The 23,603-nt window shown below is 38.9% G+C and overlaps 1 protein-coding gene and 1 pseudogene across 2 annotated transcripts in view, besides 1 other annotated feature; one reads left to right on the top strand and one right to left on the bottom strand.

The window, feature by feature from the left end:
• Positions 1 to 23,603, top strand: part of EYS (eyes shut homolog) — a 1,987,247-nt gene that overhangs the window by 1,905,639 nt on the left and 58,005 nt on the right. For both annotated transcript variants that reach the window (NM_001142800.2, NM_001292009.2), the window contains exons 38-40: positions 12,364 to 12,530; positions 13,339 to 13,483; positions 23,408 to 23,582. In NM_001142800.2, coding sequence (NP_001136272.1) covers positions 12,364 to 12,530; positions 13,339 to 13,483; positions 23,408 to 23,582 — 487 coding nt within the window. The remainder of the gene's footprint in view (positions 1 to 12,363; positions 12,531 to 13,338; positions 13,484 to 23,407; positions 23,583 to 23,603) is intronic.
• Positions 1,373 to 1,442: an enhancer, noted in NCBI's record as "active region_24723". NCBI's record gives its function as "activates an Ori minimal core promoter by ATAC-STARR-seq in GM12878 lymphoblastoid cells {active_cell/tissue: GM12878}" and the evidence as "EXISTENCE:reporter gene assay evidence [ECO:0000049][PMID:35858748]".
• LOC100422587 (platelet activating factor acetylhydrolase 1b regulatory subunit 1 pseudogene) lies at positions 3,457 to 4,505 on the bottom strand (annotated as a pseudogene).

The following is a 23,603-nucleotide window of genomic DNA, read 5'->3' as shown; positions in this document are numbered from 1 at the left end:
TTCTAGAACCCACCCTATATATCCCACAGTAGTCCACAGATGAATACATGACTTCCCCTCCTGTATCCCTTCTGTTGGTAACTGTTATAAACATTCTGCTTCAGCCAGAAACCCAGGAATCATCTCAATTTTTCCCTTTCATTCATTTGGACAAATATTGGTTGGGCACCTAGATAAGGCCTTCTTTTAGGTGCTGGGGAAGCAGTTATTAACAAGACAGACGAGGTCCTGGTCTCTCTCCATTTCATCCCCCATGTTCTATGAAACACAAGATCTCTCCATTTTACTTTCCAGTTACTTTTTGTTTTTTTCTCCTTCTTTCTATTCTCATTGCTCCTGGCTTCTCTGTCACACACTATTGCAATAGCAATAGCCTCATTTCTAGTCTCTCCGCTCAGTCATGTCCTTCTTCCCCTCTATTCTCCTCTTTGTTACATGGGATGGTTCTAACATACAAGTCCAAACATTTCTTAGCTAATCAACATGTTTCATCATAGCATACCACCTAAGCTCCTCTGCATAATATACAAAGACACTTATCAAGCCCCTACCCATTTGCACAATCTCCTTTGGTTTCATTCCACCCCATACTTGGCAATATTAGCACATGTGTACATCCTGTGTCATGTGACTGTGTCCCCCACTTCTGTGCAGGCTGTTCCACCTTCCTGAGCCACCCATGCTTCATAGGCATGCCTCCAAAACACTGCCCTTTAAGTCTCAACTCAAAAGATCATTCTTCTTTGAGTCTTTAACTCTTCCAGAAATTTTTGTTTGTTTTTTGAGACGGAGTCTCGCTCTGTCACCCAGGCTGGAGTTCAGTGGCAGGATCTTGGCTTACTGCAACCTCCATCTGCCAGGTTCAAGTGATTCTCCTGCCTCAGCCTTCTGAGTAGCTGGGATTACAGGCACCCACCACCACGCCCAGCTAGGTTTTTTTGTATTTTTAATAGAGACGCGGTTTCATCATGTTGGTCAGGCTGGTCATGAACTCCTGACCTCAGGTGATCCACCCACCTCAGCCGCCCAAAGTGCTGGGATTACAGGCGTGAGCCACTCCGCGCCCAGCCTCTTCCAGAAAAATTTAACAATTAATCTCACTGCAGTTCATTGGTAACAATTCTCATACCTTTTAAAAACTATCTGGATATCTTGCAAACCAGAACCACTACATTCCTTTTATATCAATAGTGGCTGTCACATATAAATACTCAACAGTTTTTTAAAGAATGAATATAAAAATGCATGGTCCCTGATGTGGTAAAACTTACAATCAATTTAGAAAAGCAAAACACAGGTACTTAAAGTTTTGTTAATTAACAACACTAAACCAGGAACCATGTCTGGCACACACAACCTCTATCACAATGTCTAATACGTATCTGGAATATAAATAGCACTGAATGCAAAGATATACGTAAGTGATAGAAAACGTGGAAGTCAGAAAGTAGAAATCTCATCCAGTGAGAACCGTCAGAGAACAGAACACATCCTCCAATGTGTTTCTCATCCTTCCCTTTCACTTTGAGCAATCCTCCACAATTAGTGCTACAGCAGCCCAGCTGATATTTGCTGTTCCATTCTCCCCCGCCCAGGCTCAGCTTCTCGACTCCAACAGTGCATAAACAACCAGTTCATGCTACCTGAGATCCATCGCTCTCGTTCAGTCCACCGTCAAGCTTCCTCTTGCCTGGAATTCCTGCCCTAGTCCTCTTTACCTCTCCCAGTACCTACTCATTCATGTAATGTTCTCTGACAAACTTGGATCTCTTATATTCTACCTACACAAAGCCTACATAGCACTTGTGGTTTTATCCTATAATTTGGTATCTAATTAAATACTGTTTTGTCATTTACAATCACTGCTTTGAATTATATGAAGGTACCATTTTCATAAATCAAAGCATTAGAATAGCAGCAATTTCATAATCTTAATCTTGTCCCTCAACAAGATTAATCATAAATTCTTTCCATTTCTTTTGGATTCCCAGCTGCATCATTCCTGTGCTGGATAGTTGGTGAAAAATCAATAATTACATGTTTATTTATTATTTCACTAACTGAAAGTCTCTCTGTGGACAGAGGCTATCCTAGTTAGCTAATAATGCTGTGTAGGCATTGATTGATTCGGATTGTAGTGAAGAAGTTAGGATCTGATCTAAATGAAGGGGGAGGGGAAACATGTAGCACTGTTTGAATCATTGAAATATAAGTTAAAATCTCAACTGTAGTTTGTATTAAAATTATATAATACAGTAATAAAAAAAATTTAGGAGCCGGGCACGGTGGCTCATGTCTGTAATCCCAGCACTTTGGGAGGCCAAGGCGGGTGGATCACCCGAGGTCAGGAGTTCAAGACCACCCTGGCCAACATGGCAAGACCCTGTCTCTACTAATAATACAAAAATTAGCTGGGTGTGGTGGCAGGCACCTGTAATCCCAGCTACTCAGGAGGCTGAGGCAGGAGAATCACTTGAACCCGGGAGGCGGAGGTTGTGGTAAGCTGAGATCGTGCCATTGCACTCCAGCTGGGTGACAAGAGTGAAACTGTCTCAAAAAAAAAAATTATATATATATATATATATATATATATATATATACACACATATACATATATATATATACACATATACATATATATATATATTTTAGAAGAAATATATTTGACTTCCTGGAAATTTGATCTATGCACCTAAGCACTTTATGCACATAGCTGTCAGTCACCAGCATGTAGATCTTCTATGCTGTGGTAATTATGAAAGGTTGCCTCATATTTTCTGCCAAATAATTTCTTGTTTGCTTCAAGCCCTTAGTTATAAACTGTAACAGAAATAAGAGTGCATAAATATAGCTTGATTATTTTCCTGTGGAAAAAAAATGAAATGAATGTCACCCTACAGAACAGAAAAAGAAAATTGAAGCAGGGAGTGTCACAGAAGCAATCAGCTCAGCCTGTTCTTCAGAGAGCCCTGGTAGGGATCAGGCAGAAGGAAGATGCCTGATGAATGAGAGCAGGCTATGGCCAATTCCCTAATGTAACACATAGTTCAATTGCACAGCACTGAGGTATTTTATAAACAAAACTGACAGTGTATGCCTATATTCAATTTTTTATAACAGAAAAATGCTCATTATTTTATTCTGTAATCACACCAGGAAGACTAGAAATCATGAGAATTTTCTTCCTGAGAACCTCAAATTATCAAATCTTGGTTTTCATGGAATCAAATATCCTGTACTATAATGTCAAAATTGTCTGTTTTAAATTATTTGAGTCTTTTAAAATAGTTTAAAAAGAAGTTAAGCTATTCACTTTCCCGACTGACTGAGAAACACATAAAAATTGTCACATGTGACTAGTATTCAAACAGGGTTAGAAATGACAAAGATATACAGATACTTGCAAATCTTCCCCCATCTTTTTTTCAAATGTATTTCTGAAGAGGGAATATACACTTAAGGATGGTTCAAAGTGGGTAACCTTGATTTCACAGGGGAACACTATACTTGCAGTAAGCCCATGTGGTTTCATCTTGTGGAAATTTAAGTTTACCCACAAACTGGTGCTTACATCCCTTATTTTCACAGTCTCATCTCTGACAGCAAGAGAGATACAGATTTGCCACTTTTTCTAGTCTCACCTCCTTTTGCTCAAGAGATATAAAAATGTGGGCCATATGTAGCCCCAAGAAATGCATTTTATCACATTTTCATATTCTCTGAGCATAGCACTGGATTTGTTGTTCCTATCAACCCTTCCACACTGTCTGTTCACTAGCACAGATGGAAGTCAGGACACCATATTAATTTGGCCACAAAAAGAGCCAGTCTACATTGCCTACATTTTAATGGTTTTAATCCCATGAGGTAGACACTATATTGTATCCATTGTGCTCAATGGCTAATGATGAAACATCATGGTCATGGCTGTACATGGTTCTAATGCTCTCAAAACCCTAGAATATCCATAACTGAATAGTCCCATCAACAGAACAGGAAGCCAAAAGTTTGCCACTATGAACAGGAGCTATACAGGTCTAAGATAAAAAGAGACTATATGCTCTTTAAGAGTTAATCCAAAATCTTTAGTCATCTTAATTTTAGTTTAGCATCCCCTAAAGTAGAGACTGTAACTGAATATGGGATAAAAATGGCTCAAATGTCTAGAATCCTATATCACTCGATACATCTTGTTCCGGCAGTAAGGACTTTCACTCGTTTGGGTCTTGTTTCTCACGTATCGACCTAGATATATATTTTTTGTTTTACTTTAGTTTTGATTCTAATTGCATAAACTTCTATAATTTTCCTAAGACCTTTCACACTTATTTAACTTTTCATTCATATCTAATTTCACTTTCTTCCTAAAAACTGAATATACCCTCTCATAGCCAGTTGAAAAGACAACTGAAACTCAATTAGGTTCATCTGGGTGTCTCTGTCGCAGAATCATTATTTTGTTATATTAAGAATATTTAATCAAAAGATCGTTTCCTTCTTTCAGAAATCAAAAGGCATTACAAGCCCTAGAACTATAATCAAATATGGCTGCAAAAATATCTTCACAAAACATTCCTCCAGATGGGAACTCCCACCAGTAATCAAGCGCCATTCTGTAAGCAATATTCATTTGGTGGGAGAACCACAGCACCATCGTTGTGGCTCCTCTTACATTTTCTCTTTCAGCCTTGACAGGAAAGGAAGAAGGGAGAAGGAAAATTTACTTGTCACTTAGAATTTCTTAATCCATTTGGAAATATCTTTTAAAACACTTGAAGTTATTCCTAGAGACAATCCTATGAGGTGTTATCTTTACCAGTTTTTTCAAAAGAGTGAGATAACTGGAAGTGAGCAGCCAAAACTTAAATTAGCAAAATGTCCAAGATTACACGCTCATGTCCTTGTACTACTTGGGACTTTGCTGAACTCTGCAAAGTACATTATCATATTTAGAGGAATAAATTAAATTTAATAAATGATACTATTTTACCATATTAGAATAATAGTTTGAAGAAATAACAAATTACAACTATTATTCCTTTACTATTAAGTCTTTCCTTCTAAATGAAATACTTTAGGAAATTTAATCTATTGGAATTAAAAGACTGTTGGATCATCTGAATGAGGATTACCATGTTTCTATGATGTTAAAAGTCACAATATTAACCTTTGCATTAACTGGAATATGCTGAAATACACATGGATCTCACAGCACTGTCTATATAAATGTTTTAGAGTCCCAATATGCCCCTTCAGAACAATCCGAGGAACAGCTTCTAAACCATTGTGAACCCTTATGTAAAGAACTTGAGAGTGAGCTTCTGCCACTTCCAGACAAGTAGTTCTAATTTCTGGGGTACGCCCTAAGCACATCAAGTGAGAACACAAGCATGTACCACTTCATAACTTACAACACACAATGATTAGTGAGAATCAGTAGGAGAAACAGCAGGACGGGTGTGCCTCGAAAGTCTCTCCAAAGCACAGACTTGAATTACATCTTTAATAAATGAGTTTTATGCTTCCTTTGAGGGTTTCATTAATGAATCCATGGCTTGAACCACTAGCTACTCTTGTCCAGGCCATCCTTCAAGGTGGAACTAATTAGACCACTTCTAATTACAGTTACTTCATGGGCATGTTTTTTTTCTCATGAGAATTTCATAATGATTACCATAAGGCACTCAGGGTTGCCGCACAGTTCTGACAATTTTCTCTCCTTGTTATGTTTCTCTCTTTTTCCTTCAGGTCAAGCTGACTTGCACAGTTTCTCCTGGGCTTACTCTCTGAAACCTTTGATTCTTTTCCTCCTTCCTATATAATAGATTTCCCCTTCTCGTTCATACATGCAAATTAAATCAGAGGCTGTGCTGACAAGGTTCAGCCAGGTTGGAGAACTACCAGTATAAATAGTAAAACCTTTAGGTTTAAAATCAAACCACCTACGGAAAAATCCTGCAAGCAGACCTAAGTAATTTAGGGAAAAAATACCATAAGCTTAACTATAATTATAGGCTTGTGACAAAAACATTTTTTCATATTTGCTCCCAAGGTTGTATATATTTAAGATCTGTTACTATCACTACCACCCATACCTTCTGCATCAAACTTTTAAAACCCATCTGAGACTGCTTAGAATGTCCTGACACTCTTGTCTCAACTACTTTGCTCTTTTCTTTCAGAATATTCATAGCAGCATCCTTTACCTTGTTTCCATGTTTTATCATCATTCCCATCCCTAACAATGCCACCATCCACTTCTTCACCTAGACTAAATCCTTGCTTCCATTAATAAATCACTATTCTTGGTGCATTATGAGGCCAGATGGTATTCTGACCACAGCATCTCATCTTGTTGCCCCATGAGATTTGCTCTAACCAATCTTATGAGTTGCTGTTATAATGCTAAGCATGGCTTGCCACAACATACTTACTTTGAAACTCACTGCTTAATGGTGCTGATGGAGTTGTTATGACTTTTCTTTCTAGCCAAAGAGAGATCCAGTTTTTTTTCCTGTGCATTCTAAAAGGATTTTTATTCACTTCCCAGATCTTGATATGCTTAACTACTATTCATGTAGAGTCACTTCCTATTGTTTCCTTCCTCCTCTTTTTACTACTTGCACAACATAATCTCTCTAAGTCCTTTCTTCTTAGCACCAGCTCTGAAGCAATATCCAACAAGTATCTCTTGCCTTGTCTAAAAATCTTCCTAGGGCTGATTTCATTAAGATTCACTGTGGGTTTGTGTTCTGCATACCAAATGAGCTTGGTTCCAATTCTTTTCATGAAAAAACTCTCACCATGTCAATTGCTAAACATTTCTACATGGCAATACAAATGTGGATTATCACCTGTTGCTTTGTGACTTGACAAATATAAAAATATAAATTGCTCATATATTTCCCAAAGCTACTCATAGAACAATGTTTTATAGAAAGCTGAATTTGAGAATGAAATAATTCTATAGCATTGGTGGTTGTTTGAATATGCCATTGCTTATGTTATTATGGGCTGTTAAGCCAAGAACGTCCCATTACAAGAAATTCCAGGAAAGTGACATAAGACATAAATAGATGTTTAAAAATGATGCCTTCAAGTCATTTCATTTCACCTCCATGTTTGATCCTCCAAAATTTTTTAGTTGGATCAAAGTAATGCACTGAAGCAATTTGGGCTATAGCAAAAACAAACAAACAAAAAAACAAGAAAGAAAAATTGTACTACTTCTGTTCCCGACCCAAGAGGCTAACTAGGAGCCAGGAATGCCTGCTTCCCAGACTTTATAAAATGGGGGAATGAAATAAGGTACACAAAGTTATGGTCAGGCCAGAGTTACTGAGAAGAGGAAAGAAATATGCATTTATTGAGTACCTACTATGTGCTAGGTTGGCAGTGGGCTAATGCTTACACATTAAATCTCACTTAATCCTTAGAATAATCTGAAGAGATATTATTATCCCTTCTTATTTCCCAGAGAGAAGCATTTGGGAAGGGAGTGCTGAAGGTGGGAGAGAGGGGCACAACCACAGTCAGACTTGTTTCTCCTTCTCTGCTGCATGGACAGTGTTTAAGAGCACAGGCTCTGGAACCAGGCTGTCTTCAGACTCAGACTCCACCACCTAGCAGCCACATCGCTTTCAGACATCCATGTGTGCATCAGCATCACCCCACACATACTGCCCTGACAGGTTTCAGGTCTCATCTACATACAAAGGCTCTAAGCGGCCTCAAATGTTCAGGAAGGTCTCATTTTCATTTTGTTCTTTCCTGATTTGTTTTATGATGACACCAAGGAGAGACAGCTACATAATTTGTGGGACCCATTGCAGAATAAAAAGGCAAACTCCCTTGTTCAAAAAGCAGGGAGAAATGCCGTTAAAGGTACTAAAATATAAAGCATTTTTCTTTCTTCACTGATCTCTCAACATTATAATGACTTAGAATGAGTAAGAATAAGCTTAGAATGACTAAGCTTAACTTAGAAAGTCACCATAATGTCTTTTATTTGCATTTATGTCATTCTAAGTTAAAAAATTAAAATATTAAAATTTACCATTCATTTTTATATTGTGCAACGCCACTTTAAAAGGCAAATAGAAAAGTATTTAATGCACATGCAAAATCACCAAAATTACTCAATTGATCTTTCAAAGCTTGTGCATGCATATGTACTTCCTTCTTAACAGAACACCAGAAACACTACACAAATCTAAGTTAACTGTCTTTATTTCAGTTCTTGATATACACACATTCTATCAACACTCTCGACCTTTGGCTACTGATGAGTAAGGTAGGAGTGAGAGGAAAAGGAATTGTGGACTTCCCTCTCTTTCTGTTTTCTTCTCTATCATCATTTTCAGTGTAAATAATTAGCTAATACAGAAAAGTAGTAGGAGTAATGATGAAATAATAGGGTTCCTTGATGATTCATGTTTCTTAGACCACCACTCCCTTCTTCCTGCATTTGAAGTAAGTTCTGGCCCAAATGGAGCATGGCCTCTTGGGGCTGTCAGATCCCCCACTTAGTCATTAAACATAATATATTTACCTTGTACTCATTTTGCGTTATCACTGAACTCCCAGTACTGTGGGAACTTTGTTCTTGTGGGATATCACAAGCCTTACATGTGAAAGAGCAAACATGCATATTGTATTTATGGGTCTCCTCTGTTACCACTCATGTTTGTTGCTTCATGGACTTCACTTTCAAAACACAGTTCAAAGATAAAAGTATTAAGAATTTCAAGACAGTGACACAGAGCATTAAACCAAGCAACGGGGCCCTTTGGAACTTAAAGCCCCATGCAACTGCACAAGTTTCATGCCTTGGCCCTCTTACAGTTACTAATACCAATCAGGCCTTATTACGAAAAAAAAAACAGTTGGGGATTCTGTTAAAAAATATTTCTAGGATCTAGCTTCAAAGATTCTCATGCAAGTGGTATAAGACAGGTTCTAGAAAGTGTATTTTTGTTTTTTTATATATATATATTTTTATTATACTTAAAGTTCTAGGGTACATGTGCACAATGTGCAGGTTTGTTACATATGTATACATGTGCAATGTTGGTGTACTGCACCCATTAACTCGTCATTTACATTAGGTATTTTTGAACCATTCCCTAAATGATTGTAAAGGACTTCTAGGTTTGGAAACACTCTAGAACAATTCCAAGTCACTTTCTAGGTACCGGCTGTGACAGTAAACTGCTTTTCTTCCTCTTATCTACTCCATCATTTACTACCAGAGTTGATACTCAGGGAAGATCTAGAGTTGAAGGAGTAGCAGAGGAAAGGAAAGCAACCTGATGGACTCATGGCATGGGAATAGTATGCTATCATCTGCTTGATGGGTGATTGGTTCCCTGGCTCTCCTTATCCCCTCCTCTTGGTGCATCCCCAGTCCTTTGCCCTGGGACAGGTCTGTAGGCAGGAGCACCTATAAACTAAACTCAGCCTTTTCCCCCAGACTGTTCCTTTCCTAGGGTCCTAACTCCATGACTGACCCTGCCACTGCACCTGGTTCTTTAAGCCAGATTCTGCAGAACCACCTTCTCTCTCTTCCTCAACTCTTCCTCAGCTCTTCACCCAAATTGATCTGTCCTTTCAAATTTTCCTTCCAAATCACAAGCAAATTTCCTCCCATTTTTCTGACCCCTCTGTCACTACCTTAATTTATTTAGGTGTTTAATGTATTTCAGTATCATTTCCTCTTCTGAATCACTTGAATGACTTTCCAATGAGCCTCCTTATGTACCTCTATATTCTATCCTCAACATTACTAGAAGATTCTTCTAACATCCAGATCTAATACACTTCTCTTATTCAAAATCCTTTCATGATTCCTAAGAGTCTCTGGTAAAATACTTACATCATTCATTGCAGCATATTAGACCCTTAAAGATATAGCCCTTTCTCCCTTTTCAGTTTCCTTTCCTGCCACAGGCACTAAATGCCAGTCAAGCCCACATCCCAGCAGTTCTTCTTCTTTTTTTTTTTTTTTTTTTGAGAGGGAGTCTCGCTCTGTTGCCCAGGCTGGAGTGCAGTGGTACGATCTCGGCTCACTGCAAGATCTGCCTCCCAGGTTCCCGCCATTCTCCTGCCTCAGCCTCCTGAATAGCTGGAACTACAGGCATGCGCCACCACGCCCGGCTAATTTTGTTTTTGTATTTTTAGTAGAGATGGGGTTTCACCGTGTTAGCCAGGATGGCCAGGATGGTCTTGATCTCCTGACCTCATGATCTGCCCGCCTCGGTCTCCCAAAGTGCTGGGATTACAGGCGTGAGCCACCGTGCCCGGCCCCAGCAGTTCTTAAACATACCCTGTTCTTCTCCTTCTGGGTTGCTGCAAAGTTCTCCCTTCTGATTTAAACAGCACTCTTCACTGTATCCTCTTTTTTCATCTAACAAGCTCTTGCTTGTCATTTTCTGGGTGAGCTCAGAAACTGACTCAAAAACCACCTTTTTGCTTTCCTAACCCTCTTCCTCACCATGTCTTAATGGCTGCCCCCATTTGTTTCTATTCTGCTCTTCGTGGAACTTGAAACAAACCTCCTATCTCCTCCTGACCAGGCTGTCAAGGACCTAAGGATAATAATGATGCTCCTGGCATGAAATGGGTTCTCCATAACTGGAGGAAGGAGAGCACAAGACAGAAAGGAAGGATACAGCTGAAATGAATATGCCCTCCCACTACCTTACAGCTCGGCTGGCACAATACTGGCTCCACTCCCATAACCTGGACAATTTGAAAGACAATTCAGATCCCCTCCAGAATCTCTCAGAAAAATTCCCATTCACAACCCACAGAAAAATCTCATGTTTCCTCCTCCACCCCTCCCAATTTCTTCTATATCCCAACAGCTGCCTGAAAGACTATCTCCAATCTCTAGTATTGTTTTCTCCTTTCTGCCTTTCTAACTGCCTTCCTGAATCTATGTTTTCTCTTGAAACATTGAACTTTCCGTTTTAAATATACAACCCAGCTAACCTGATGCAGCATTGCAGGTGGGAAGAAATCACCAGAATGTGAGGAAGTGAAAAAGAGACTTGCCATAAGTTCCCAATGTACTCGGTCTATGGTAGGTCACTTAATACAGTTGCTCTTAACCATGACTGTATATATTAGACTCACCTAGAGAGCTTTCAAAAGTAACCCTGCTCAGGGCCCATGGCAGACCCTTTAGAAAAGCAGAGGCAGCGTTCAAGTATCTCTAAATAATATTTCTGTCTTCCACTTTCCAGTGCCTCAGGAAGCCCACCTCTCCACCCTATCTGGAAACCTACCTCCCTGTAGATCTTTCTCTCCTTTACCCTGATCAAAGTAATACTAGAAGCCCAGTCAACAGACAAAGCATCATTCCTATAAATGCAGAAGGAGGAGGCTGTGCATACTCATAATAAATTTTTTCTATGTCAAGGACTCAATTCAGCTTTTTCTCCCATGCTTAAACCTCTTACTTCTAGGGGGTTCTTACGTTCTTCCTCTAAGCAGAAGTCTTTGCCTCAGTTTCCTGACTGCTAGCCTCAGTATTGAATTCTTCTTTTGCCCCACCCACTAACACACCTTTCAGAAGCTGGGTGACGTATTTGGGTCTCTGCTTCCTGTGAACAGATCTCTTGCTATATACTGATGGATCATCCCAGAACTTCTTAATCCCGCCAAGGATACTGCTAGCACCTTCCCCTAGTGATTAATGCTGGGTCACTCCCAACCACTTCCTTTGTCCCGTGGGTCTTTAAGAACTGTCTCCTGAGTGTTCTGGGTCCTGGAACTCACTGTACTGCATGGATGGCTCTGAACTAATGGAAGGAGAGAGAGAAGAGGGAACACAGAAACAATCCACCTTTAAATGGTCATGGGGCATGGTTAAGAGCTTTTGTAATAGAATAATGATAACATATTCTTAGCAATCATAGGAATAAATTGGTCTTTATCCTATTCTCAAATCATAGAAAGAACTTCAAAGCTGATGCTAGGTCATCTCAGCCTTTTGAATCTCGTTAGCTACCGGAGCAATTCTACTCCATTGTGAAGTTCTCCTTATTGTAAAGTGCACACTGAATTTCACTCCGACAAAAGGAGATTTTAATCCCATTCAACTTTTTAGTTGATCATTGATCATTCCCCAGGTTGACCAGAACCCTCATGGCTTCAAAGACATAAACTCTTGGTGCTCTGTTTCTGGGGCTGGGAATAACAACAGCCAGTTGCACATATACCTAAATGCTGACTAGAGACTAAATATGTATTATAACTTACCATACTGATCTGTAATTCAGAACCAGTCAGTAAAATAAAGCTGACGGAACTCCTGAATTTCCTCTCAGTGAGCATTCCCCATGTGTCTTCTCATTCCAGGGTTGAATGGCGATGACTTCCTGGCTGTGGGCCTGCTCAATGGCAGTGTGGTTTATAGTTATAACCTGGGGTCTGGCATAGCAAGCATCAGGAGCGAGCCCCTCAATCTGAGCCTTGGAGTCCACACTGTTCATCTGGGCAAGTTCTTCCAAGAGGGCTGGCTGAAGGTAAAGAGTCATTCCTTCGTCACTTCCACAAACTGAGAGCACTAGTATATTGTCAGATCTGTGCTAAGATACAGAGGTGAATAGCCCATGATGCCTACATCCACGAAGTTCACAGACTATTGTACCAACTAGGGGAATAGAGAGATGATTACAATTAAGTGGTGTGAGAACAAATAAGAGGGATTACTAACACAGATAAGGGTGAGAGAGAGGATTCAGAAAGTGCTTCCCAGAGAAGGTGATGCTTGAGCGTAACTTCAAATAGGAGTTAAGAAAGAGAACAATGGCCAGTATTAGCTTAAGGAATGCAAGTAGTTCAGCATGGTTTTTAGGTTGGGGGATGGGGGAGCTAGAGAAGTGGTTAGAGACAGATAAGGTCTATATTATCAAAGGGCTTAGATGTGCTAAGAAGTTTATATTTTTATCTAAAGAACTATGAAGAGCTACTTAGGAAGGTGGGTACCATGTTGATTTCTAATTTTTGATAAAGGACTCTGGTGGTTCTATGGAGAATTGATAGCAGAGGAGGAAGGCTAAATGGAGGGGAATCAGCAGGATGCCAGCACCTAATCTTTGAAGAACTTTGATTTTGATTGAAATGCAAAACCATGACTGCTATATTAATATATCCCTGGTAACAGACACCAGCAGAGAAGCAGAGAATTGAGTGGTATCATGTTATTTCTTCAAAATTCAGGTCTTTGTAAATTTTTCATGCCAAGTTAATGGGAAATAACAAAAGAGTATCTTAACATTTCACCCTGGGGAATTAATTCCTTTTTTAATAGGTTTTTTTTCCCTTTCGAAGGTAGATGATCATAAAAATAAATCCATTATCGCCCCAGGAAGACTGGTTGGTCTCAATGTCTTCAGTCAGTTTTATGTAGGTGGCTACAGTGAATACACTCCAGATCTCTTACCAAATGGAGCAGATTTTAAAAATGGTTTTCAAGGTAAGGCATGGACATTTTTTATATTATACCTACTTATTTCAAATGTTGAGGGAAAAAAATATTTTAAAGAGTATACTTCTATTTCCCAAACCAGCTATATGGATTGCTTTCAGACTTGAACAAAGTTTGATTTTAATCAGAAACATTCATTTACTATTTTTTTTTTAGATGGAGTTTCGCTCTTGTTGCCCAGGCTGGAGTGCAATGATGCAATCTGGGCTCACCACAACCTCTGCCTCCTGGGTTCAAGTGATTCTCCTGCCTCAGCCTCCCTAGTAGCTGGGATTACAGGCATGCACAACCACGCCCAGCTAATTTTGCATTTTTAGGAGATGAGGTTTCTCCATGTTGGTCAGGCTGGTCTCGAACTCCCGACCTCAGGTGATCCGCCTGCCTTGGCCTCCCAAAGTGCTGGGATTACAGGCCATGCCCAGCCTCATTTACTATTTATTGACCACTTACTACATATGTACTAGATGTTTAGGATGTTTTAATGAACAAATCAAAGATTTCTGCACTTATAACTAGTTGGAGAGATAAACACTAAATGTAATTAGTTAATTATATAGTCATATAATGTGATAAGTTCAATGGGAAAAGGGAAATGGAGAGCATGATTTAAAGGAATCAGGATTATGGGTAATTGTTTATACAGGGTGCTTTTTAAAATAGGCTGAGCAGGGTAGACTTCAAAGAGTCACAGTAAAAATTGAAAGTCCATCTAACTTTGAAGTTCAAAAGGCAAGAGACAGACTGCAGTCAACCCATCCATACCACCAAGGGGTAGCCCACAGAGGCCAGAGCAAGCCAAGAGGATTAAGGACAACATTGTGCTTGGGTGAGCAATCTTATTGCCACAGTCTGTCTTCCTGTGTTCAAATAGTTCCGTGTTCAAATGAGATCAGCACACACAGAGCTGGCCCTTTCTCTTACAGAAACATTAAGATTGCACACTCCTGGAAGTATGTCAACTGCCACAGTCTTTAGTGAGTATGGGAATCTTGGGCAAGTCTTCTTGGAAATTGCCACTTATGCCACAGTCTTATAGAAAATTCAGGACCTTGAGATCCCCTAATTTTATCATTCTTCTCTTGGATCCTCTCTTAATGTCTGCCTTCCCTCCACTCTAAACTAGCATTTACTATTTATTATAAATCATGGCGTATTGTTACCAACTTACCAGGACAACCAAATTGCAACTGTACCATAAATCCATGGTTCCCAAAGCTGATCTCTACTGGTTCTGAAGAATAATATAGGATAACTTCTTAAAAACACAGATTTCTGAACCCTACCCAAGAACTATTGAATTGAAATCTTTACAGTGGGATCTAAAAATTTGCATTTTAACAAGCCTCCCAGATTTGGAAGCCACCATATATTTTTTAAATTATCTCTTTTTTTTTTTAACTTTAAGTTCTAGGATACAAGTGCAGAATGTGCAGGTTTGTTACATAGTATACATGTGTCATGGTGGTTTGCTACACTCATCAACCCATCATCTAGGTTTTAAGCCCTGCATGCATTAGGTATTTGTCCTAAGGCTCTCCCTCCCCTTGCCCCCCACCCCTTGACAGGCCCCGGTATGTGATGTTCCCCTCCCTGTGTCCGTGCATTTTCATTGTTCAACTCCCACTTATGAGTGAGAACATGAGGTGTTTCATTTTCTGTTCCTGGGTTAATTTGCTGAGAATGATGTGGAAGCCACCACATTAATTAATCATAACGAAGCAAAGCAAATGGAATTTTCTGAAAGAATTTAATAGTTGGAGTAAGGATATCACATTTGTCCTTAGAATTACAATTAAATAATGCAATAAAATATTATCTGATCTAGGCTTTTACATTTTTATAAACTCTTTATTTTTATTTTACTTTACCTTTTTTTTTTTTTTTTTTTGAGTCTCGCTGTGTCATCAAGGCTGGAGTACAGTGGTGCCATCTCAGCTCACTGCAACCTTCATCTCCAGGGCTCAATCAATCCTCCCACCTTAGCCTCTCATGTAGCTGAGCCACTAAACCCAGCTAACATATCCTTACAAAGCTGATTTATATTGTAGTAGAGTTATAAAATAAAGACATGCTTTAAATTGTAATAACAATTCATTTGGTGAAGATAGCTTTTTGGTAGATCCTAGTCCCAGGGTACTTGGTCAAAGGTCTGTTCTTATAGTGTTCTCAGTCACTCAACCAGGTCTGGCCTACTATCCATGAACTTGAGAACTGCATCATCACACCCAGTTAATTTTTGTATTTTTATTAGAGACAGGGATTTTCCAGGTTGCCCAGGATGGTCTTGAAATCCTGGGCTCAAGCCATCCGCCTGCCTCGGCCTCCCAAAGTGCTGGGATTGCAGGCTTGAGCCACCGTGCCCAGCCGATTCCTATAAACTCTTGATAAATAACTCTAATCCAAAGTTCGTGATCTAAAATATAAATCCTTACTGCTAATAAAGCACATTTGTTTTTGTTCTAAAAAATGGCTTATAATGAACCATTATTTTTTCTATGACCTTTAATGCTCATAAAGGTATTGAGACTAACCACCTTAAATAATCTACATCTGCCAAATACGCTGTGCCTTACTGTTTTATCTGCCCTAATAAGATCAGTTCTCCTCTCCTCTGCTTTCCAAAGTTGCATCTGCTACAAAGCTGCAGAGTTCTCAGAATGAGGCTCATGAATGGTGGTCTCAGACTGGGCACGGAATGAAGGAAGGAAGACAAGAAGATATGGAAGAAGGGAAAGGAGGAATAAGGGGAAGAAACAAGTAAAACTGGTTAGGCCACAAGTGAAAATAAGCTGGGTCCTTTCACTAGAAGTTCTGTTGCCTGTAGATAATCTTGCTGAGCTGTTAATTGTGCTAAAGGCAGCTATAGAAGCAGAATAACTGAAGTGAAACATCTCATCTTCACCACAAATGCCTTTTCTGAATATACTTCTTTACTTATTTCTTTTACTATTGCTACCAGTCCCTCTAATACTTGTTTGAATCCTTTGTACAGTGGTTCTCAAAATGTGGTCCCTGGGTCAGCAATATCAGCATCACTGGGAAGTTTGTTAGAGATGCAAATTGTAATTGAACCAGAAACTCAGGGAATGGGGCCCAGTAATATGTATTTTAATGAGCTCTTCAGGTGATTCTGATGCAACTGAAGTTAGAATGACAGGCTTACTGTCATCTTTGACTACTCACCCTTCCCTGATTAACTGACACATCATAACCCTATTGCCATGCTAATGAATTATACCATTTTCCTGCTCTAGAACGCAACAGACACCCTGTCAACTCTAGAATAATAACTGAATTTTTTACATGGTGATATGGTTTGGATTTGTGTTCCTGCCCAAATGTCATGTCAAATTGTGATCTCCAGTGCTGGAGGAGGGGCCAAGTGGGAGGTGTTTGGATCATGGGGGTAGATTTCCCCCTTGCTGTTCTTGTGATAGTGCGTTCTCATGAGATCTGGTTGTTTAATAGTGTGTATCACCCCCCTTCACTCTTTTCCTCCTGCTCCAGCCATGTAAGACATACCTCCTTCCTCTTCACCTTCCATCATGACTGTAAGTTTCCTGAGACCTCCCCAGCCATGGTTCCTGCATGGCCTGTGAAACCATGAGCCAATTAAATCTCTTTTCTTTATAAATTACCCAGTTTCAGGTAGTAAGTTACAGCAATGTGAGAATGGACTAACACCCCTGACATTCCAAAACCCATGTATTTTTTCTATACTTAACTCGCTTCCACTGATTTTTTAATTCAATAAAATCTATCTGTATTAGTCAGGCATCTCCAGAGAAACAGAACCAATCAGGTGTGCACAGAGAGAGAGAGAGAGAGATTTTTAATAAGGAATTGGGTCACATGATTATGGAAGCTGAGAAGTCCCAAAATCCACAGTCAGCAACCTGGAGACCCAGGATAATTGATGTGTAGCTCCAGCCTGAGTCTGAAACCCTAAGAACAAGGAGAGCAAGTGGTGTGAGTTCCAGTCTGAAAGCCATCAGGCTCAAGACCCAAGAAAAGCCAATGTTTCAGTCCAAGTACGAAGGCTGGAAAAGACCAATGTCCCAGCTCAAGTAATCAGGCAGGAAGAATTCCCTCTTTTTTGTTCCATTTAGGTCTTCAGTGATTGAATGAGGCCCACCCACATTAGGGAGGGCAATCTGCTTTACCCAGTTTATCAATTCAAGTGTTAATCTCATCCTAACACACACACACACACACAATATTTGACCAAGTATCTGGGCACCCCATGGCCAAGTCAGGTTGGCACATAAAATCAACTATCACTATATCTAGCCACTGCCTCTCTGTATGTCTTATTTTCCCTGCCTCAGGGCCCGTGCTTAAATCAGCATTCTCCACCTCTTCAAATTCCATTTGCCTGGAAAGCAAGCTCAAATCACACCTCCTCAATGAGAGCCCACTCTCTGAGCTCACTCATTGAGAGTGAGCTCTTTCTGAAGTCTTTGGAGCACCAAGTCTTTTCCCACTTAGCATTTCATACCTAATATAATTATATACCTAGAGAATGTATGTCTTAATTTAGAATTTAGTAAGCTTCTGGAGAATAGGATTTTTAGTTTTTACTGATAACAGATCTCCACAGCACCTGGAATGGTGCTTTCACATAATACATGCTTGTGACATGTTGTTACCACCAGATCTTTCCCAGACTCTCTTACAGCTATGCATGACCATGTGCCTGAGTTCTGGCCAGTGAGATGTCAGCAGGTGTAATAGTTGCTACTTCCAGGCCTTGCCTATGAAAATCTTCTGCACAGTCCTGTACTCTGTTTGCCAACTCACCTGGATGCCAACCCTAACCACCCTTTGGACTTTACATGAACAGGAAATAAGCTTCTAGTGTTACAGCAACTACTGCTCATTGATATGGAGGTTATTAAATATTTACTACTCTGAATAGAGTGGACATGAGATAGATTCAGATTTATTAACAACCCTGTAAATGAGAGTTATTCTCATCTAAAAATAGCCAACACGGTCAGTACTTTCGGTTTCTTGTGAGTTCAATTTTTTTCTCTCTCCTTTTTTTAATCATATGAGATTCTTCAAAGAAGAGCCCATATGGGAAAATGTAATCAGTTTACTGCAATAATTTAGAAACCCAGGATAAAAAAAAAAAAAGCTATACTGCAGTTTAAAAAAAAAAGCTATTACTTATTTGGTACCTAGTCAGTCAAATGGTTGGCTAAATGCCAACAAGAGAAAGCAGGAAAGATCTAAAATTGACACCCTAACAACACAATTAAAAGAACTAGAGAAGCAAGAGCAAACACATTCAAACACTAGCAGAAGGCAATAAATAACTAAGATCAGAGCAGAACTGAAGGAGATAGAGACACAAAAACCCCTTCAAAAAATCAATGAATCCAGAAGCTGGTTTTTTGAAAAGATCAACAAAATGGATAGACTGCTAGCAAGACTAATAAAGAAGAAAAGAGAGAAGAATCAAATAGATGCAATAAAAAATGATGAAGGCGATATCACCACCGATCCCACAGAAATACCAACTACCATCAGCGAATACTATAAACACCTCTACACAAATAAACTAGAAAAGTTAGAAGAAATGGATAAATTCCTGGACACATATATCCTCCCAAGACTAAAGCAGGAAGAAGTTGAATCCCTGAATAGACCAATAACAGGCTCTGAAATTGAGGCAATAATTAATAGCCTACCAACCCAAAAAAGTCCAGGACCAGACAGATTCACAGCTGAATTCCACCAGAGGTACAAAGAGGAGCTGGCACCATTCCTTCTGAAACTATTCCAATCAATAGAAAAAGAGGGAATCTTCCCTAATTCATTTTATGAGGGCAGCATCATCCTGATACCAAAGCCTGGCAGAGAAACAACACAAAAAGAGAATTTTAGACCAATATCCTTGATAAACATCAATGCAAAAATCCTCAATAAAATACTGGCAAACTGAATCCAGCAGCACATCAAAAAGCTTATCCACCATGATCAAGTTGGCTTCATCCCTGGGATGCAAGGCTAGTTCAACATACACAAATCAATAAATGTAATCCATCATATAAACAGAACCACAAACAAAAACCACATGGTTATCTCAATAGATGCAGAAAAGGCTTTTAACAAAATTCAACAGCTCTTCATGATAAAAACTCTCAATAAACTAGGTATTGATGGGATGTATCTCAAAATAATAAGAGCTATTTATGACAAACCCACAGCCAATATCATACTGAATGGGCAAAAACTGAAAGGATCCCCTTTGAAAACCGGCACAAGATAGGGATGCCCTCTCTCACCACTCCCATTCAACATACTGTTGGAAGTTCTGGCTAGGGCAATCAGGCAGGAGGAAGAAAGAAAGGGAATTCAATAAGGAAAAGAGGAAGTAAGATTGTCCCTGTTTGCAGATGACATGATTGTATATTTAGAAAACCCCATTGTCTCAGCCCAAAATCTCCTTAAGCTGATAAGCAACTTCAGCAAAGTCTCAGGATACAAAATTAATGTGCAAAAATCACAAGCATTCCTATACACCAATAACAGACAAACAGAGAGCCAAATCATGAGTGAACTCCCATTCACAATTGCTTCAAAGAGAGTAAAATACCTAGGAATCCAACTTACAAGGGATGTGAAGGACCTCTTCAAGGAGAACTACAAACCACTGCTCAATGAAATAAAAGAGGACACAAACAAATGGAAGAACATTCCATGCTCATGGACAGGAAGAATCAATATCATGAAAATGGCCATACTGCCCAAGGTAATTTATAGATTTAATGTCATCCCCATCAAGCTACCAATGACTTTCTTCACAAAATTGGAAAAAACTACTTTAAAGTTCATATGGAACCAAAAAAGAGCCCATATTGCCCAGACAATCCTAAGCAAAAAGGACAAACCTGGAGGCATCACGCTACGTGACTTCAAACTATACTACAAGGCTACAGTAACCAAAACAGCATGGTACTGCTACCAAAACAGAGATATAGACCAATGGAAAAGAACAGAGCCTTCAGAAATAATAGCACACATCTACAACCATCTGATCTTTGACAAATCTGATAAAAACAAGAAATTGGGAAAGGATTCCCTACTTAATAAATGGTTCTGGGAAAACTGGCTAGTCATATGTAGAAAGCTGAAACTGGATTCCTTCCTTACACCTTATACAAAAATTAATTCAAGATGGATTGAAGACTTAAATGTTAGACCTAAAACCATAAAAACCCTAGAAGAAAATCTAGGCAATACCATTCAGGACATAGGCATAGGCAAGGACTTCATGTCTAAAACATCAAAAGCAATGGCAACAAAAGCCAAAATTGACAAATGGGATCTAATTAAACTAAAGAGCTTCTGCACAGCAAAAGAAACTACCATCAGAGTGAACAGGCAACCTACAGAATGGGAGAAAATTTTTGCAATCTACCCATCTGACAAAAGGCTAATATCCAGAATCTACAAAAAACTTAAACAAATTTACAAGAAAAAATCAAACAACCCTATCAAAAACTGGGCAAAGGATATGAACAGACACTTCTCAAAAGAAGACATTTATGCAACCAACAGACACATGAAAAAATGCTCATCATCAGTGGCCATCAGAGAAATGCAAATCAAAACCACAATGAGATACCATCTCACATCAGTTAGAATGCCGATCATTAAAAAATCAGGAAACAACAGGTGCTGGAGAGGATGTGGAGAAATAGGAACACTTTTACACTGTTGGCGGTACTGTAAACTAGTTCAACCATTGTGGAAGACAGTGAGTGGATTCCTCAAGGATCTAGAACTAGAAATACCATTTGACCCAGCGATCCCATTACTGGGCATATACCTAAAGGATTATAAAACATGCTGCTATAAAGACACATGCACACGTATGTTTATTGCAGCACTATTCACAATAGCAAAGACTTGGAACCAACCCAAATGCCCATCAATGATAGACTGGATTAAGAAAATGTGGCACATATACACCATGGAATACTATGCAGCCATAAAAAAGGATGAGTTCATGTCCTTTGTAGGGACATGGATGAAGCTGTAAACCATCATTCTGAGCATACTATCCCAAGGACAGAAAACCAAACACTGCATGTTCTCACTCATAGGTGGGAATTGAACAATGAGAACACTTGGACACAGGGTGGGGAACATCACACACTGGGGCCTGTCATGGGGTCGGGGGAGTGCGGAGGGATAGCATCAGGAGGAATACCTAATGTAAATGACGAGTTAATGGGTGCAGCACACCAACATGGCACATGTATACAGTATAACAAACCTGCAAGGTATGCACATGTACCCTAGAACTTAAAGTATAACAATGACAAAAAAAAGAAAAAGAAAGCTTTTTATGCCTCCAAAAAAAAGTTTTGAAAATAAAATTCAATCTTGCCTTTATTTTATCATTTTAAAGACCTTATTTCTGGTTGATGTTCCCATTTATTTGAAAGAACTTTGCAAATAAACTATAAGTAACTGCTAAAGGAGCTGAGTAAAATTACAATACATTTCAGGATTTCAAACACTTTCATTTCAAATTTTTCACTGAACTGTCCTTTTTATTTACATATATTTATCCAATCTTGGGGTAGAAAAGTTATTTTTGTTTGTTTGGTTTTTTTTTTTTTGAAACAGACTCTCGCTCTGTTGCCCAGGCTGGAGTGCAGTGGCGCGATCTCAGCTCACTTCAAGCTCTGCCTCTGGAGTTCACACAATTCTCCTGCCTCAGCCTCCCGAGTAGCTGGGACTACAGGCACCCGCCACCACGCCCGGCTAATTGTATTTTTAATAGAGATGGGGTTTCACCATGTTAGCCAGGATGGTCTCAATCTCCTGACCTCGTGATCCACCCGCCTCGGCCTCCCAAAGTGCTGGGATTACAGGCATGAGCCACCGTTCCCGGCCGAGAAGTTCTTTCTAAAGATGTATAGAAAGGCAAAATCTCTGAAAGAAAAAAGAGAAAAATGTGACAACATAAACATAAACTTCTTTACCTAAAAAAAAAAAAAACTACCATAGCAAAATTGAGTGGTAAATATTAAACTGGAGAAAGTTTATTTACCGTATATTACAAATAGCTAATGTCCTCATTATATAAGGAGACTCTCTTTATATACTATAAATACAAATTATAATATAAATTATGAATGACCAATAAATTTGTTAAAAGATTTTTGATACCCAACCAAAAACGGTAAAATAGTATTTTATTAGCTATCGCATGTAAAAATGAAATGGAATGGTAATCCCAGGCATGGTAGTGCCTGTGAAGAAAGGGGTATCCCAGTCTCCTGAGTCCAGTTGTGATCTATGGGGGACACTTAGGCATACTTCAAAGCATCTATATCTTTTCCCCTAGTAATTCTACTTCTAGAAATATGTACTAAAAATAATTTAAATGGACAAAGATATACACATAAGATATTCATTACAATTTTATTTCTAATAGCAAAAAGTATAAATAAGTCAATGGTATAATAATTATAGGTTTATTAAATATATTTTGATATAAGAAAATATGCCATCACTTAAAAATAGTTAATGCTACAAGAAAAAAGTTAATGTTATTTATGATGTTCAACTTTTTGGTATAATATTATATTTTCTACAGCTTAGTGCAGATTGCATTTTTGTTTAAAAGAAAATATGACTAAGCATAGAAAAAATACCACACACACACACACACCAAAATGTTAATAGTTGTCTGCTGTGAAATGATATCATGAATGACTTTTAAAAAAAAATTTCTCTGCGCATTTCTGTATTCTTATATTTCTTTTAAAATTTACATGTATTACTTTATTTTGAAAAACTTCTACTTTAAAAATGAAAAATAACCTTCTTCTTGTTTTTTCTATTTCTTCTGTTTGTTAACACGAAGTGTTTTTGCATTTCTTCAAGGCTGTATTTTCACTCTTCAAGTTCGCACTGAGAAGGATGGCCATTTCAGAGGACTGGGAAATCCTGAGGGCCACCCAAATGCTGGACGCAGTGTTGGCCAGTGTCATGCTTCTCCCTGCAGTTTAATGAAATGTGGCAATGGTGGGACATGCATAGAGAGTGGAACTAGTGTTTAGTAAGTATGACGTTATTAGGA

This window comes from Homo sapiens, chromosome 6 (genome assembly GCF_000001405.40).
Source record: "Homo sapiens chromosome 6, GRCh38.p14 Primary Assembly".
In the NCBI taxonomy this organism is placed as follows: Eukaryota; Metazoa; Chordata; class Mammalia; order Primates; family Hominidae; genus Homo; species Homo sapiens.
This window is presented reverse-complemented; position numbering and strand designations above follow the sequence as displayed.